This window comes from Homo sapiens, chromosome 12 (genome assembly GCF_000001405.40).
Source record: "Homo sapiens chromosome 12, GRCh38.p14 Primary Assembly".
Lineage (NCBI taxonomy): Eukaryota > Metazoa > Chordata > Mammalia > Primates > Hominidae > Homo > Homo sapiens.
Genome location: NC_000012.12, coordinates 123602099 through 123618487, shown reverse-complemented (window position 1 = coordinate 123618487; position 16389 = coordinate 123602099). Strand labels below are relative to the sequence as shown.

Sequence of the window (16389 nt, the reverse complement as noted above, 5' to 3'; positions counted from 1 at the left end):
AATTTAAAAATCAGATTTCACATGACAATCCTAATCTGGTAGCAAAGTATGGCAACACTGGGTCTCTATTCACAAGAAGTAACCCTTGCCTGGGTCCCAGCAGGGCATGCTACCACACAGGAGACTTGGTCACTCCATGACCGAGGTGCCTCCACAGCCTTAAAGCCCACCAGGGTGGCCGGGCACGGTGGCTCACGCCTGTCATCCCAGCACTTTGGGAGGCCGAGGTGGGCGGATCACCTGAGGTCGGGAGTTCAAGACCAGCCTGACCAACATGGAGAAACCCCATCTCTACTAAAAATACAAAATTAGCTGGGGTGGCGCATGCCTGTAATCCCAGCTACTTGGGAGGCTGAGGCAGGAGAATCCATTGAACCCGGGAGGTGGAGGTTGCGGTGAACCGAGATAGTGCCATTGCACTCCAGCCTGGGCAACAAGAGTGAAACTCCGTCTCAAAAAAAAAAAAAAAAAACCCCACCAGGGCCCCCCACTGCCACCACCAGCCCAGCCCCAGTGAGTTTGCAATTCGTAATTTCAATTGCTGACCACATGCTGGAGAACTTTTCCAGCTACCCCGTCACTAGGCATTCTATCTGAAAACGGACGGCAGCTTACTTTTTGGTTAATTGCAAGGAAATTGATGTATGACTCTTCCATGGGCAGGAGGAACACCAGAGCGCTGCCCCCGTGGCCAATGCGAGCTGTGCGACCGCAGCGATGCACGAAGGCACTGTGAGAACACAGGGTGGAAATGGGTACCCAGGTGATGACAGCTGAACAGAGCTCAGGCTCCAGCCACATGGCTGCTGCAGCTAAAACGCTCTGGGGAGCCTCTAGCCTCCACAGCTCAGTGTGGACTCGGCCACTTACTAGTGTGAGAAATAGAACTGGCAATTAAACCAACACTGCAAACAGATACGATTCTGTAAGAAACATTTAATGTGAACTCTTAAGTAAAACTTGTATCTTTCTCTCTGATCATACAGGTGGGACATAGTCCCCAGTGGAAAATCTGGGAAACAATGAAAAATACAAAGAATAAAATGAAAATGACCAATAACCTCAGGAGTAATCATCAACACTTGGGGGTTTATAGGCATTTTCCTATGCGTGGAAGCATGTATTAGGAATATATGCTGACTTTGAAGAAAGTAATTGTAATTTTCACATGTGGTGGTATGTATTGCTTTTTTCATTTAGACATTCTATTGTGTGTTTCTGCAAGAACTGATAATATTTGAAAGTACTTTTAATTGCTACCAATACAGTATCACGATTTCACCATGAATGGGTTATTCATCCATTTGCCTATTTTTGCTACTTAAAACAACGGGTTTTTGTTTTGAGACAGAGTCTCACACTGTTGCCCAGGCTGGAGTGAAGTGGCACAATCCATTGCCACCTCTGCCTCCTGCGCTCAAGCGATTCTCCTGCCTCAGCCTCTCAAGTAGCTGGGACTACAGGAACACACGCCTGGCTAATCTGTATATATATTTTTTGTAGAGACAGGGTTTTGTCCTGTTGCCCAAGCTGGTGAATTCCTGGGCTCAAACGATTCACCTGCCTCGGCCTCCCCAAAGTGCTGGAATTACAGGCGTGAGCCACCGCGCCCAGCCTCAAATAATGTTGTTGTTTTTTGTTTTCTCTCATTGTCTGAAATTTCTATAACCTTGCTCTACATGGAGCACGGCAAGGCCTCAAACCATTTCAAAACTGTTCTGGCAAGCCCTGTAGGAATCCACGGGGTCACTGCAGACCCAAGCACGCTGGAGGCTTGCTATAAAATGTTTCAGTGAACATCATTATCTGTTTATCTTCTTCGGGATTCCTCCTTTATTAGGCTAAATTCCTCAACAGAGAGTGGGTGGCAGCCTCGTACCATACCTTGCATTGCTGGGAGGGTCATACTGCAAAACCCAGTTGACTTCAGGAATATCAATTCCCCGGGCCATCACATCAGTGCACACTAAAATCCCACTAGGAAATGAGAAAAAAGCATTCTGAGTAAGGAGGCCACCATCTTCATCACCATCAAACAGCCTACTGATCTCGATGACAGTGACACACAGGTGCTGGAGCTTCTCACAGAAGCAAATGTTTAAGGTAATATTTTGATTTTTTCTTCTTTCTACAAATCTCTGGGACTTCATAAATTCCAATAAAAATTGGAGGGAGGTGAGAGACAGCAAAGGGATTTTAAAAATTACAGCACTGCCATTTGAAAACCAAAACTGTATGGGTCTAATCCTTTGTAGCCATCTGAAAAACAACGGACAATTCACTCCATAACTGAGGCCTAGCAGTCAGGTATATCACTTTGTCCAAAAGAAGACTTTTAATATAGTCAGATGTTCAATGATTAAGAAAAACAGAAAACTATTATTTGTCAGCACAAGCAGATACAAGTTATGGTCATTGGTAGACACAAGTTGCCTGCTGTATAGTCACAAGCCTAATAAGCCACAGACAGTTTTTTGTTTTTTTGTTTCTTTGTTTGTTTGTTTTTGAGATGGAGTCTCACTCTGTCACCCAGGCTGGAGTGCACTGGCGCAGTCTCGGCTCACTGCAAGCTCCGCCTCCTGGGTTCACACCATTCTCCTGCCTCAGCCTCTGGAGTAGCTGGGACTACAGGCGCCAGCCACCATGCCCGACTAATTTTTTGTTTTTAGTAGAGACAGGGTTTCACCACGTTAGCCAGGATGGTCTTGATCTCCTGACCTCGTGATCCACCCGCCTCGGCCTCCCAAAGTGCTGGGATTACAGGCGTGAGCCACCGTGTCCGGCCTTAAGCCACAGACAGTTTCTACCCAGACAGGACAAATGGATTTGCTCCTTGCTGCTTGACAGTCATCACAACCTTTCCCTGGACCGGGCACAGGGCAATCTGGGAGTGAAGACAATACACAGGACTCCTGTGTCACGGAGCCTGCTGTCTAGCACAGAAGTTCAGTAACTAGGGAAATGACATAGCAAAAGGCAAAGCAATTGGAACAGGGCAATGGAGGCTCGGGGTGTTTACAGAGATGTGATAACCAGATTAGAGAGGGAAGAGGGTTCCAGGCAGGAAAGACAACACATGCGGACAGCACAGGCTACTAGAGAATGGGGCATTTGGGGACCTGAAAGAGCAGTGTGGCAGGAGAGCTGCTACCTTCAATGAAGCCCACCCACCTTTGCAATTTGCGGAACTCCATGAAGATCTTATTGCGTTTATATTTCATCTTTCCGTGAATGCACATAATCTTCACGCCCTTCACCAGCACTTCCAGAGCCTTCCCATAGTATTCCACACAGGCACAGGTGCTGCAAGAGGGACAGAGGGCTTAGAGTCATTGGCCACTTTGGTCCTTCTACAACCGGGAGAGGGGAACAGTGAGCAATAGCTGCAGCAGACGCAACCTAACTACAAGCCCTCCCTAGGGGAATGACAAGGAAAATGGCAGTGGAAATCATCCACAACTGAGTTCTCAATCTGTAATCCTCTCAGCCAATGAAAGGCCAATCTTTTGACAAAATCCCTTAAACATGAATTAAAACCCCCAAGGACATATTTTACTGTCTAAAGATGTTCTCACGGGAAATCTCCCTGACCCCGAGAAAGGAATTAAAGTGAAACAGTCATTCAGAACAAAAGCAATGACATCTTAGCCACAAATAGTGTTACAAGATTTAAAAACATTTCTGCTTTCCGTTTAGGGAACTGCTTCTTTCCCAATTAGCAGGATTCCCAAGGGCTCAGCAAATAACCCAAGCTAGGCCAGTCAGATCCCTTCTCCCAGATATTTGGGACTTGGAGCTGAGTCATCCAAAGACAAAAAGGGGTTGGCAGTCATCCCAATAAAGATATGCCCTAAAGAGATGGCCCATGAACTCCTGCCAGGGAGCCTCCTTCCCTGGGAGCTGGACACTCAACATTCTCTGAATCTGTGAGCTCCTTACCCGGCACCCTTCTAATAAAGTTCACCCTGGACCCTTTTCCTTAACTGGAAGCATTCCCAAGTGACTTCCCATCCTTTTGCAGATGAGGGAACTAAAACTTACCAGAGACACAGAGTAAGTGGCAGAACCAGAACCCAGGTCTAATGCTCCTCCCACTAGACCAGACTACTGCACTACTGCATTCCAGTTTGGGCTAACTCTTGTCTACTTCAGTCCCTCCACCTGTGCTGTGACCGCTCTTTTCCACCTTGAGTCACATAGTATGTAATGAAGTGGTGTTTCACACACTAAGCCTCACAACCCACAGACCTGGTGGGTTCTGAAATCAATTTAGTGGGTCTCGACCAGCATTTTAAAAAAATTAACAGCTGGAGTAGAACAGAATAGAAAACATCCCACCTAGCAGGGTGCAGTTTCATGAAAACCTTTGTTTTATTGTCTTGTTTGGGTGTGTACCAAATTGTACTTCTTACTGTGGGTCATGGTCAATATTGCATTTTATTTGTAGGATAACAGATAGAAAAGAAATTATAAATATAAATATATAAATAAATATAAAATTATTTTTTATGTACTACTAAAGATCAACACATTTATCTCTGGAGAAAAGGGGAAAAGAACCAACCAGTCCAAAGAACATATGCATCTGTCCCTACGCTGCCTTCTGACCACAGGACAAAACCCCACTGTGGCGGACTCCATGGGTGGCTGATAAACACTATTCCCAACCACTTCTTGCTTCACTGGCCACTACTACAGAGGCAGAAAAGCTGCGCACTCATTTTCTCTGCTGCTCTTGAAGTGAGGGGCCACCACGTGACCCACTTTTGGCCCCTAAGATGAATTCACAGCTGAAGTCAACTAGGGCAGAGGGGTTTCTGAAGAAGCTCTTTGCTCTCCTGATTAAAAGGCATGGATATAGCTAACATTGCCCTAAGCCCCCTCTGCCTTTCCCCCCTTATCTTTCTTCAGTGGAGACATGACAGGGTGTAATAGTGGTCATCCAGAATCCATGAGGTGACACATAGGAAGAGAAGACCAATCACATCAACATTGACCTTGACATGACTGACACATGAAACCCATGTGAGAAACTGCCTGCCTTTGGACGACTTTTTACGGGAGAAAAATAAAGCCAACCTTGTTCGGACAACAAAAGTTGGGTTTTCAGTTATTTGCAGCCAAAAGCATTCCGGAGAGAACCATGCTAGATGGAATCCAAAACCCAAAGGCCGCATGCACCTGCACATTCTGGCTGAATCCCTGATGCCTCTACCACAGAGACCAGAGGAGTACCTGAAGAAGACCAGGTGTTTCTCCTGCTTATGATTGCGAAGAAAATGGACCAGCTGATTAAATTTCTCATCTGCCTTGCATACCTGCAAAATAAAAAGGGAAACTAATAAAAAACATATTTGGCAATAATAATCCCCATGGCTATTTTCAGTTTCAGCATTAAATTTTAAGGAATGTCATTTCCCCCATGGGTAGGACAGACTTTAGTCGGAATGTTAACTGGTCTACCTAGCTCAGAATAAATATCAACATGTGCTGCTGCCTGTAAAAGTTAATTTGTATGTCACAAAATCATATAGCTCAGAGAAACACAGTCATCCAACAGGCAACAGTTCCCAACTCCCAATCCCAATATACATGCCAGCCATTACACCATCTCCAGGGTAGATTTTTATTTATTTACCTTTTTTTTTCTTCTTTTTTTTTTTTCAAGAGACAGACTCTCAATATGTTGCCCAGACTGGTATCGAACTCCTGGCCTGGCATCCGGCGATCCTCCCACCTCAACTCTAAAGTGCTGGGATTACAGGCGTGAGCCACCTCGCCCAGCCAAAGGATAGATTTTTTTTTTTTAAATGCAGATTCTTGGGTACGACATACAGATTCTGATTCAGTAGGTCTGAGATTGAACCTAAGAATCCCTATTATTTAAGAGTTCCCCCAGGAAATTCTGATGCCAAGTTCAGAAGTCACTGCTCTAAGGTGAATACTGATTTCCAGAAAGCAATGTACATCATTATTTAAAAGGCCTCCATGGACGCAGACCCCACTGCTTTTCTTCATAATGCAATCAAGTCCTCCATTCAAACTCCCAAATTAGAGACATTAAATTCACCTGAATGCATTCATCCTATTTTTACCAAAACCAAATCCCCAGTTTGGAATTTTTTCTCATGTACTCAGCCATCTCTAAATGCAAAACGAATGCAAAATAACAGAATGCAACAGTAGCCACAGTGTGTCCAAAGCTAACAGTAGTACAAGTATCCCTCATCCAAGGTCCTTAGGACCCGAAGTGTTTTTTGGCTTTTGAATTTTTTCAGATTTTGGAATAGCTGCACTATACTTACCAGCTGAGCATCCCTAATCTGGAAATCCGAAATCCAAAATGCTCCGAGTATTTCCTCTCAGCATCATGTTGGCACTCAAAAAAGCTTCAGATTTTGGAGGATTTTGGATTTTGGAATTTCAAGTTAGGAATGCTCAACCCATACTTATTGTGTACTAAGCACTATCATGAACATTTTTGCATGGATTAATTAATTAATCCTGCAGCAACCCTACGAAGCTGTATACTACTGTGGCCCCCATTTGACAAGTAAGGACCTCTAAGTTCATCGGTTAAATCTGGTAGGGGCCAAAGCCAAGATATGCACCAGGCAGTCCTGCTCTAGCGCCCATGCTCTCCACACTACCCTATGCAGAGTCCTTCCCTCTGCTTGGGAAGAGCTAGCCTCCTCCCTCACCCAGTCCAGCTTGTCAGAAACATCAATGGCAACTACAACTCCCACTTCTGATGAGCCTATCTGATTTTGACAACACTCTCCAGTTACACTAGGTGCAGTTTCTCATTTGCAAACTCATTCTACCTTTAATCTGCCTACAAATTGACACAAACCGGAGAGCAGCCTCGACAACCTCACAGTCTGCAGCAATAGGAACATTCTGGTTTCGAGACCAGCCTCCTTCATTTTGAACAGCAGACATGTTCAGGAGCTAGGGAACCCCTCCAGGCCTAACGAAAAATTTAACCTGAGAAAGCTTATTGCAAAAGAGAAAGAAAAGCCCCAGCCCCGGGCTGGTGGGCCAGTGTACCGTCAGCAGTGGCACTGGCCTGTGGGTGCCTCCTCGCCCTGATGGTGCTGCCTCCCCTGCAGCCTGTGCTCTCTACATTTGTGCCTCCTGGCCCATCCCAGCAATGGGACAGAACAGAACAGGGGTGAGGAGTGGCCTCATTACTAAACAATCAAGTTGCCAAAAGCCCATCTACTTCTTTGTGAAGAAACTACAGAAGCCAGCAGCCAGTATTTACTACTAGAAATTCAGCATATTTGGGCCAGGCATGATGGCTCATTCTTGTAATCCCAGCACTTTGGGAGGCTGAGGCAGGAGGATCATGAGGTCAGGAGTTCAAGACCAGCCTGTCCAATGTGGTGAAACCCCACCTCTACTAAAGATACAAAAAATTAGCTGGGCATGGTGGCACATGCCTGTAATCCCAGCTACTCGGGAGACTGAGGCAGAAGAATTGCTTGAACCAGGAGGCAGAGGTTGCAGTGAGCCGAGATCGTGCCATTGCACTCCAGCCTGGGTGACAGGGTGAGACCCCGTCTCAAAACAAAAAAAAACAAACAAAAAAAAACGGCCGGGCGCGGTGGCTCACACCTGTAATCCCAGCACTTTGGGAGGCCGAGGCAGGTGGATCACCAGGTCAGGAGATGGAGACCATCCTGGCTAACAGGGCTAACAAAAAATTAGCCGGGCGTGGTGGCGGGCGCCTGTAGTCCCAGCTATTCGGGAGGCTGAGGCAGGAGAATGGCATGAACCCAGGAGGCGGAGCTTGCAGTGAGCTGAGATCGCGCCACTGCACTCCAGCCTGGGCGACAGAGCCAGACTCTGTCTCAAAAAAAAAAAAAAAAAAAAAAAAGAAACTCAGCATATTTGATGCAGGTCAAAAATACACAACATTTACGGAGCAGAACATTTCCACCCCACAAAGTCTCCTTAGGAGTGAGTCTGTCATTTGATTTTCTGTGTTCCACCTGCACATCTAACTATGCCCTTCTCTGTCAGACAGGCTGTTCTGACGGGCCCAGGAACTACAGAGCTTAGTCATGGCTGCACCCAGCACACCCCAAGCATGTACAATAGAAACATTTGGTCACTTGAGGGTAGGAGGTTCAGAGACTCTGTCCTTAGAGACTGTGCTTAAAATACATTTATGTCCAATTTAACTTATTCATTCAATGAGTAGGACCACTCAGGCCATTTGCCCTAGCTAGCTCTGTCCCCAAATGCATTTCATAGGTGCTACAGGGTCTCACATATTTATTCTACCAGTACAATTTCCATAAAATGAGCACTGGTCATTATCGCTGAGTAAGAAGCAAGCCCAGGCGCTTACCATGTAGTAGTTTTCCAGGCGGGAGGGGGTCTTCTGGGCACTGCTGGCTGCCACGCCCTTCTCCTTCACTGAGACCCGGACAGGGTTCCGGAGGCCCGCTCTCACCAGGTTCTCCACTTCCTGCGTCTGAGTGGCAGAGAAAAGGCCTGTTCTCCTCTGCTTTGGCAAAAACTCCAGAATGGTGTTGATGCTGATAAAAAGAGGGCTCACACTTAACCGCTCACTTGCCAGCAGAATCAACACACAGTGCTTCACGATACTAAACAGGTATTCAAAAAGACTGAAAGTGAAGCCATCAAAATATTTATAGCACATACACTGGGAGGTGAGATTATAGGTGATTCTTTGTTTCTTCTTTATACTTTCATTTTTCCAAGGTTCCTCAAATTTTAGCATACAATTATAATGATATGTGAATTATATCCCATAAAGCTGTTTATTAAAAAACAACAAAACTGCCAGGTGTGATGGCTCATGCTTGTAATCCCAGCACTTCGGGAGACTGGGATGGGAAGATCTCTTGAGCCCAGGAGTTTGAGACCAACCTGGGCAACATAATGGGATCTTGTCTCTGCCAAAAATTAAAAAAAAAAAGCATGATGGCATGTGCCTGTAGTCCCAGATGACTCAGGAGGCTGAGGTGGGAGGATCACTTAAGCCCAGGAAGTAAAGGTCGCAATGACCCGAAATCATGCCACTGCATTCTAGCCTGGATGACAGAGTGAGACCCTGTCTCAAAAAAAAAAAAAAAAAAAAAACTTGAAGGAAAGTGCATTTTAAGATCAAAGATAGAACTGGAATAAAATCACGTGGTAGAATTTGAAAGCTCAAACTACTTAATGATTTGAAATTAAAATGTGGTTAATAAAAATACTTAGGCCAGGCATGGTGGCTGGCACCTGTAATCCTAGCACTTTGGGTACCCTAGGTAGGAGGATCACTTAAGTCCAGGAGTTTGAGAACAGACTGGGCAACATGGCAAAACCTCATCTGCAAAAAATAAAAAAACCATCCAGGCATGGTGGTGTGCACCTGTAATCCCAGCTACCCGGGAGGCTGATGCAGGAGGATCATCTGAGCCCGAGAGGTTGAGGCTGCAGTGAACATAATCACACCACTGCACTCCAGCCTGGGTGACAGCACAAGACCCTGTCTCTAATAAACAAATAAATAAAAAATAAATAAAAATGAAAATAAAAAATAAAAATACCTAGTCATGAAACAGTAAACTCCATTTTGCTCCCCTTTTGTATTAGTATCATCTGCCCACTCAAGCCAGTGAAGTCCAAAGTCCAGTACCTTGCCTCAAACCCCATGTCCAGAAGTCTGTCTGCCTCATCCAACACCAGGACATCCAGGGATCGCACACAGCTGGCCAGATCCAAGCCTTCGGCCTTCCTCCGGAACATGTCCTCCAAGCGGCCTGGAGTGGCCACAATGATGTTCCCACTTTGGAAAGAAAGTTAACATTTACCAAACTCTCTGGATCTTGGGAATGTGGTTGATGATTACCAAAATACCAAGTTTTATATCCCCCCAAAGTCATTTAAGCCCTAGTGAAGAGAACGAAGAGCATGAGAGTAGAAGAGTGCTGCAGGGTAGAAAGACTGAGGGCTGTGGTGAGACGGGATCTGGGTTCTGGGCTATGACCTAGGCAAGGTTGGCAAACTCCAGCTCCCGGACCAAACCTGGGCTGCTGCCTGTCCTTGCCAAGTATTTTATTGGCAGAAAACCACGCCCATTTATTCACATGTTGTCTATCGCTGCCTTCACACTACAACAGCAGTTGAGTAAGTGCGATGGAGACCATATGGTTCACAAAGCCGAAAACATTTACCATCTGCTCCTTTATAAAAAAAAAGCTTACCAACCTCTGACTTACGCAAGTTACTCAACCATTGTAGGTCCCAGGTAACTCACTTGTAAAATGGAAATGTTGACAGAATTAGAGAATCCTATGTAAAGATCACAAACTGGCAGACTCAGGGCCAGATGTGGCTCCCTCAGACTGGCTCACCTACAAGATATGTTTTTCAAATGTGGATTACACGCCAACAGTTAAAAAATCAGGAGATTACACACACAAATCTGGAATTCCATCTTCTTTTTAAAAAATTCAAAACCTGCCACTACTGAGCCGAGTCCTCCCAGGCAACTACCAGCTGGAGCTGAGTATTCAAGGCAGCTGCTGGCCAGTTCCTCACCATCCCCCAGCCCCTGACCACTCATTTATCTTCACGTCGTTCTCTTGACCTCTGTAAGAACCTGAGTTTGTGAAGTTCTCATCAGGGCCTTATGGGAAGGAGCCAGCAAAGCACAATGGGAAGCTGGCCTGGAGAAAACACCTTTTTGCAGGGGGAGGAGGCTGCTGAAAGGGGGACCCACAGTTAGGCTGAGATCACACATCGATTCTTAGGTTCAATGCCAAAAGCAAGCAAAGAAACAAGCAGACACGAGCAAACTCACCCTTGTTGCTTAAACCTCTCAACATCTTCTCCAGGATTCCTGCCTCCGATCCAAAGAATCTGGCTACAACAAGAAAACAGCCTTTGATTAAGTTCGACAAAACAGCCCATGACTAACAGGGACACTGCATCCAATTCACCTGAACTCGGGGAAGTGCTTCGTGAAATGCGACAGGACCTCGTCTATTTGAATGGCCAGCTCTCGAGTGGGGGTGATGATTATGGCTCCAACCTACCCACATGGAAGGAAGGGACACAGTCAGCAGCACAAGGGACTCCCAGAGAGGAACTCATAGGCCCTCCGCCCTCTACCACACAAAGGAAAGTTCCAGAGAAACAGTAGTTCCCAGACTTTCTCAGCAGCATCTCTGAGCACATATCAACTACTTTGAATTACGGTTACTCGTCATCATATACTGCAGTTATGCTCTTTCAAGTCATGAAGAACAGTGAATTAGTCAATGCTGAACCACTGCTCACAGGGGAAACACAGGGTTAGGTTCCTGCCAGTCTTTGGGCATGACATTTTTGTCAACCAATCAATACATAAACCTATTTTATGTCTGTTTGTGCTTAAAAGACTCTATTTAACATATACTATTGATTCATTCTCATTGAACTCGTGGCCAACAGCACATTAACTCATGCCTTAGCTTGTGCTTCTCTAGCACAGGGATTTTCTCTGCACGTCATAACCTTCTTGCACCCAGGAACACTAGACTGCACTACATCACGGGGCCATTTCAAAAACCAAAATCACCAACATAAAGCACAAAAATGTGCAAAATGGCCGGGCGCGGTAGCTCACACCTGTAATCCCAGCACTTTGGGAGGCCGAGGCGGAAGGATCACTTGAGCCCAGGAGTTTAAGACCAGCCTGGGTAACATGTCAAAAAATACAAAAAATGACCCAGACATGATGGTCCACACCTGTAGTCCCAGCTACTTGGAAGGCTGAGGCAGGAGGACAGCTTAAGCCTGGGAGGTGGAGGTTGCAGTGAGATGAGATCACACCACTGCACTCCAGCCTGGGTGACAGAGCAAAACCCTGTCTCAGGGAAAAAAGAAAAAAAAAAAAAAGGTAAAAAACATGGCACTAAATAAATGACGAAAAGGACACTGTTTACACCTGAGCAGTGAAAACAAAGGCAGCTCTGCCCACGCCCATGACCACAGAAGCACCGAGGATCCACTGGGGTGTTCTAAATTTTAACGAGCAGGCAAATTCACAAATACAGAATCCACAAATAATGAGGATTAACTGTCTTTTTTTTTCAAGTTTCATTCATTCATTATTTGTAGAGATGAAGTCTCACTGTGTTGCCCAGGCTGGTCTCAAACTCCTGGACTCCAGTGATCCTCCAGACTCAGTCTCCCAAAGTGCTGGGATTACAGGCGTGAGCCACGGCTTCTGGCCTATTTTTTCACATTTGTAGCCAGCTTCTTAATCCAATGTGAACTCTCTGATGACTAGGTGAAAATAAATCACTTTTGTTGTCCTCACCTGACTCTTTTTTAACTTCTCTTCTCTTCTCAGAAGAATTTCCAGGATGGGGATGACAAAAGCGAGTGTTTTGCCACTACCTGTGACCTGCAAACAGAGAGTTTTGGTTTCCCTTTCTTCCTCAGAGTTCATCTGAGGGAGAACACGAGGACAGGCTGCACATACCCGAGGCACTCACCGCTTCTGCAGCGACATCTTTGTTTCGCATGAACAGAGGGATGGTTGCGGACTAAAGAGAGAGATTGCAAAGCACTGGTTAAAGGATGCCATCAATTCACAGGTGAGACCCGAAGCCCTAGGAACATAATGGGCAGCTAAGGTCACAGTGGGTCCCACCACAAAAGGGGCTCTGAGTAACCAAGTCACCATAGAGAAGTTGAATCAAACGTGGCAACTGTGTCTATGTGGACGGCGTGTGGGGACAGTGAGCTGAGCTGGGAGGTGGGAGTCCTGAATTCTAGCCCTGTCGCTCCTACTTTCCTCTCTGAACCAGGAAGGCGTTGAAGACATTGGGTTTTAGGGTCCCTTCCAGCTCTAGTATCACAGAATCATGATTCAAATAAACCCTCTCATTTTAAGCACTGTAGAGGTTGCCAGACTTTAAAAGAAACCTGGTTTTAGCAATCAAAAAAAACCTCAATTAGATTCAGGCCTTGGCCTGGAGGCTGCTCCCTCCAGGATTCAGCCCTGGTCCCCAGGGCCTGAGCTCACTTAAATCACAGCAGGTGTAATATTATTCTAACTGCCTCTACACAGTGATTGCTATCCCCCTGCTCAACCCCTGAGGGAACATTTGACAATGTAAGGAGACATTTTTGGTTGTCAAAACCCAGGGTGGGCCAGGCGTGGTGGCTCACATCTATAATCACAGCACTTTGGGAGGCCCAGGTGGGTAGATCCCTTAAGGCCAGGAATTCCAGACCAGCCAGGCAACACAGGGAGACTCTGTCTCTACAAAGAAAATTTTTTTAATTATGTGGGTGTGGTGGTGCATGCCTGCAGTCCCAGCTACTCAGGAGGCTAAGGTAAGAGGATCACCTAGGCCCAGGGAGGTCGAGGCTACTGTGAGCTGTGACTGTGCCACTGCACTCCAGCCCGGGTAACAGAGCAAAACCCTGCCTCAATAAATAAATAAATAAATAAAATACAACCAGGGTTGGGAGGTGATGTCCTCTGATGGACAGATTCCAGTGATGTTGTTAAACATCCTACAATGCCCAGGACAGCCCCATAACAAAAAATTTTCCAGCACAAAATGTCAATAGTGCCAACAGTGAGGACCCTGCTTCAGGCCATTGCTGTCCAATAGAAATAAAATGTGAACCACATAAACAATTTTAAATTTTCTAATAGCCATAGTAAGAAAAGTAAAAAGAAATGGGTGAAATAAATTTTAATATTTTATTTAACCCAATATATCAAAAATATTGTCCCTTCACATTTAGTCAATATTTAAAAATCAGCATTTTCCATTCTTTTTTCATACTAGGTCTTCAAAATCTAGTGTGTTATTTGATACTCAGAGTACACTTTGATTTGGACAAAGTGTATTTCAAGCACTTGATAGCCATGTCTGATGACTGTGTAGTGGATGACAGGTCTAGACAATGAGCTCTGAGGCCAGAGATTGGGTCTTGCTCGCACTACATTCCCTAGGCAGGGCACATAGCACTCCCAGTTTTCATCTCCAGCCCTGCCTGCTGGAAATACATTCTCCACATTCCCGGGAATCTTATGGGCATCTCAAACTCAAGACTTCATTTATTTAAAAAAAATTTTTGTGATGACAGGGCCTCCCTATGTTGCCCAGGCTGGTCTTGAACTCCTGATCTCAAGTGATCCTCCCACCTTGGTCTCCAAAAGTGCTAGGATTACAGGCGTGAGCCACCGTGCCCGGCCATTATTTATTTTAATTTCGAAGATGCGGGTCTCACTATGTTGCTCAGGCTGGTCTTGAACTCCTGGGCTCAAGGGATCCTCCCACCTCAGCCTTCCAAACAAATGGTACTACAGGCGGGTGCCACTGTACCCAGCTCAGTGTTTAAAAACAGGACTCTTGTGGTCAGGCGCAGTGGCTCACTCCTGTAATCCCAGCACTTTGGGAGGCCAAGGCGGGCGTACCTGAGGTCAGGAGTTCAAGACCAGTCTGGCCAACATGGCGAAATCCCGTCTCTACTAAAAACACAAAAATTAGCCAGGCGTGGTGGTGTATGCCTGTAACCCCAGCTACTTGGAAGGCTGAGATGGGAGAATAGCTTGAACCCGGGAGGCAGAAGTTGCAGTGAGCCGAGATCGTGTCATTGCACTCCAACCTGGGCAACAGAGAAAGATTCCGTCTCAAAAAAGTTAAAAACAAACAAACAAACAAAAAACAAAAAAAAGAACTCTTGACTTTCCCTCTGAAACCTGATACGCACGCCAGTCATTCTTGGGAAATGGTAACACCATTCACTCAGCTACTAATAAAAATCAGCCGGGTGCGGTAGCTCAGCCTGTAATCCCAGCACTTTGGGAGGCCAAGGCGGGTGGATCAGGAGGTCAGGAGTTCAAGACCAACCTGGCCGAGATGGTGAAACCCCGTATCTACTAAAAATACAAAAAATTAGCCGGGCATGGTGGCAGGCACCTGTGATCTCAGCTACTTGGGAGGTTCAGGCAGAGAATTGCTTGAACCCAGGAGGCGGAGGTTGCAGTGAGCCGAGATCGCGCCACTGCACTCCAGCCTGGGCAACAGAGCGAGACTCCATCTCAAAAAAAAAAAAAAAAAGAATAAAAACCTCAGGTCCTGTAGTCTTTTCTTTCCTAACCTCCACTTCCAGTCCCTTAGCAACCTTAAAGCTATCCCAAATGTGACTTCTCAGTATCCACTGGTTCCACCCTACTCCAAGTCACCATCATCTCTTACCTGACAATGGCCTCCTAAGCGACCTGCCTGCTTCATCTCTTATGCCTGGAAAGGCCACTCTCTACAGAGAAATCACAGCCCTTCCCTTCCTAAACATCCTCCCAGATAAGATGGCTTCCCACTACATTTAGAATGAAATCCAAGCGCCTACAAGACCCTGCACAATCCATCTCTTACACTACTCTTGATGTTCAGCCACAAAGGCCTCCTTTCTGCTGCTCAAACTATTTGCAGCCTGCCGCAGGGCATTTATGTGCACTGGTATTTCTCTCCAGTGGAATAATCTCCCCCTAGTCACCTCAGAGCCAGCTCCTTCTCAATCACTGAGGTCTCAGCTCAATGCACCTCCTCAGAGAGGCCTTCCTTAACACCCTATCTCACCTCCTCTGCAGTCCTCGCGCGACACTATCACAACCGTCTTAGTTCTTTCATAACACTTACCAGCAGCTGAAATTATCCTTTCTCTAGCTCTTGCACTAGAAAGTAAGGCTATGAGCAGATGCCAATACTGCAAACTCCCCAGAGCCTAGAAGAGTTCCTGACACATAGCAGGTCCTCAAGAAATATTCTTGAAGAGATGCATAACAACGGTAACCCTTACTGAGCTCCCATAGTGTGCCGACTGGTTTATTTAGTCCCCACAGCAACCCCATAAGGAGGGTGTTATTTTTTCGTCATTTCACAGAGAAGGAAAATGAAGCACGGAGAGGTTAAGCCATTTGCCCGAGGTCTCACAGCTACAGCGAGCAGGGCCAGGATGAGAACCAGGCTTGAGACCACAGCACCCGAGGGCGGGGTGGGTCGCGGCCCCTCTGCCGGCTCGCTGGCCGGGCAGCTCCGCATTCCGCCAGTCTGGGCAGCTGGAGACAAGGCAAGAGCCCCAGCTGGAGGGATGAGCGCCCCAGGGCTCAGATCTGTCCGATCACCTCCTGTGGGTCCGATGCAGCGGGTGCCTGCCCCTCTCCCAGCCTCACTCCCCCACGCCAGGGAACCGATACCTGCACCGGCGTCATGTACGGGAAGCCCAGCTCCCGCAGCGCGCCCAGCACCTGCGGGTGCAGCGGCACAGGCAGCGACTCCCAGGAGCCCTCTGTCACATGCTCCATGGCGCGCTCCTTCGCCGCGTCGGTCGCCGCTGCTCGAACGCGCCTTGTGC

The 16389-nt window shown here is 46.6% G+C and overlaps 1 protein-coding gene, 1 long non-coding RNA gene and 1 other non-coding gene across 22 annotated transcripts in view, besides 2 other annotated features; 1 reads left to right on the top strand and 2 right to left on the bottom strand.

Annotated features, from left to right (window-relative positions):
* The window catches only part of DDX55 (DEAD-box helicase 55), an 18845-nt gene extending 2456 nt beyond the window's left edge, over positions 1 to 16389 (bottom strand). For 4 of the 19 annotated variants that reach the window (NR_135104.2, NR_135105.2, NM_020936.3 and 1 more), the window contains exons 1-11: positions 16232 to 16389; positions 12507 to 12557; positions 12329 to 12415; positions 10965 to 11056; positions 10826 to 10888; positions 9659 to 9808; positions 8360 to 8549; positions 5236 to 5318; positions 3172 to 3303; positions 1885 to 1977; positions 616 to 730 (exon numbers count right to left, since the gene is read on the bottom strand). Coding sequence is in view for 17 of the 19 variants with exons in the window: in NM_020936.3 (NP_065987.1) it covers positions 616 to 730; positions 1885 to 1977; positions 3172 to 3303; positions 5236 to 5318; positions 8360 to 8549; positions 9659 to 9808; positions 10826 to 10888; positions 10965 to 11056; positions 12329 to 12415; positions 12507 to 12557; positions 16232 to 16339 (1164 nt within the window). In the remaining 2 variants the exon portion in view is untranslated. Of the gene's footprint in view, positions 1 to 615; positions 731 to 1884; positions 1978 to 3171; positions 3304 to 5181; positions 5319 to 8359; positions 8550 to 9658; positions 9809 to 10825; positions 10889 to 10964; positions 11057 to 12328; positions 14641 to 16231 lie in introns of those variants that run through there. The other 15 variants (XM_017019710.2, XM_047429224.1, XM_047429225.1 and 12 more) reach the window with 8 other exon arrangements.
* Positions 726 to 5367, top strand: LOC105370041 (uncharacterized). Of its 2 annotated transcripts, none has more exons than XR_945475.3 (3): positions 726 to 1176; positions 1982 to 2103; positions 4523 to 5367. It is a non-coding gene; the product is annotated as an uncharacterized LOC105370041 (long non-coding RNA). The 2 variants fall into 2 exon arrangements; XR_007063504.1 differs by having other exon boundaries at positions 1841 to 2103.
* Positions 1648 to 1778, bottom strand: SNORA9B (small nucleolar RNA, H/ACA box 9B). Its single transcript, NR_145743.1, has one exon. It is a non-coding gene; the product is annotated as a small nucleolar RNA, H/ACA box 9B (small nucleolar RNA).
* Positions 15628 to 15677: an enhancer, noted in NCBI's record as "active region_7272". NCBI's record gives its function as "activates an Ori minimal core promoter by ATAC-STARR-seq in GM12878 lymphoblastoid cells {active_cell/tissue: GM12878}" and the evidence as "EXISTENCE:reporter gene assay evidence [ECO:0000049][PMID:35858748]".
* Positions 15918 to 16027: a silencer, noted in NCBI's record as "silent region_5048". NCBI's record gives its function as "represses an Ori minimal core promoter by ATAC-STARR-seq in GM12878 lymphoblastoid cells {active_cell/tissue: GM12878}" and the evidence as "EXISTENCE:reporter gene assay evidence [ECO:0000049][PMID:35858748]".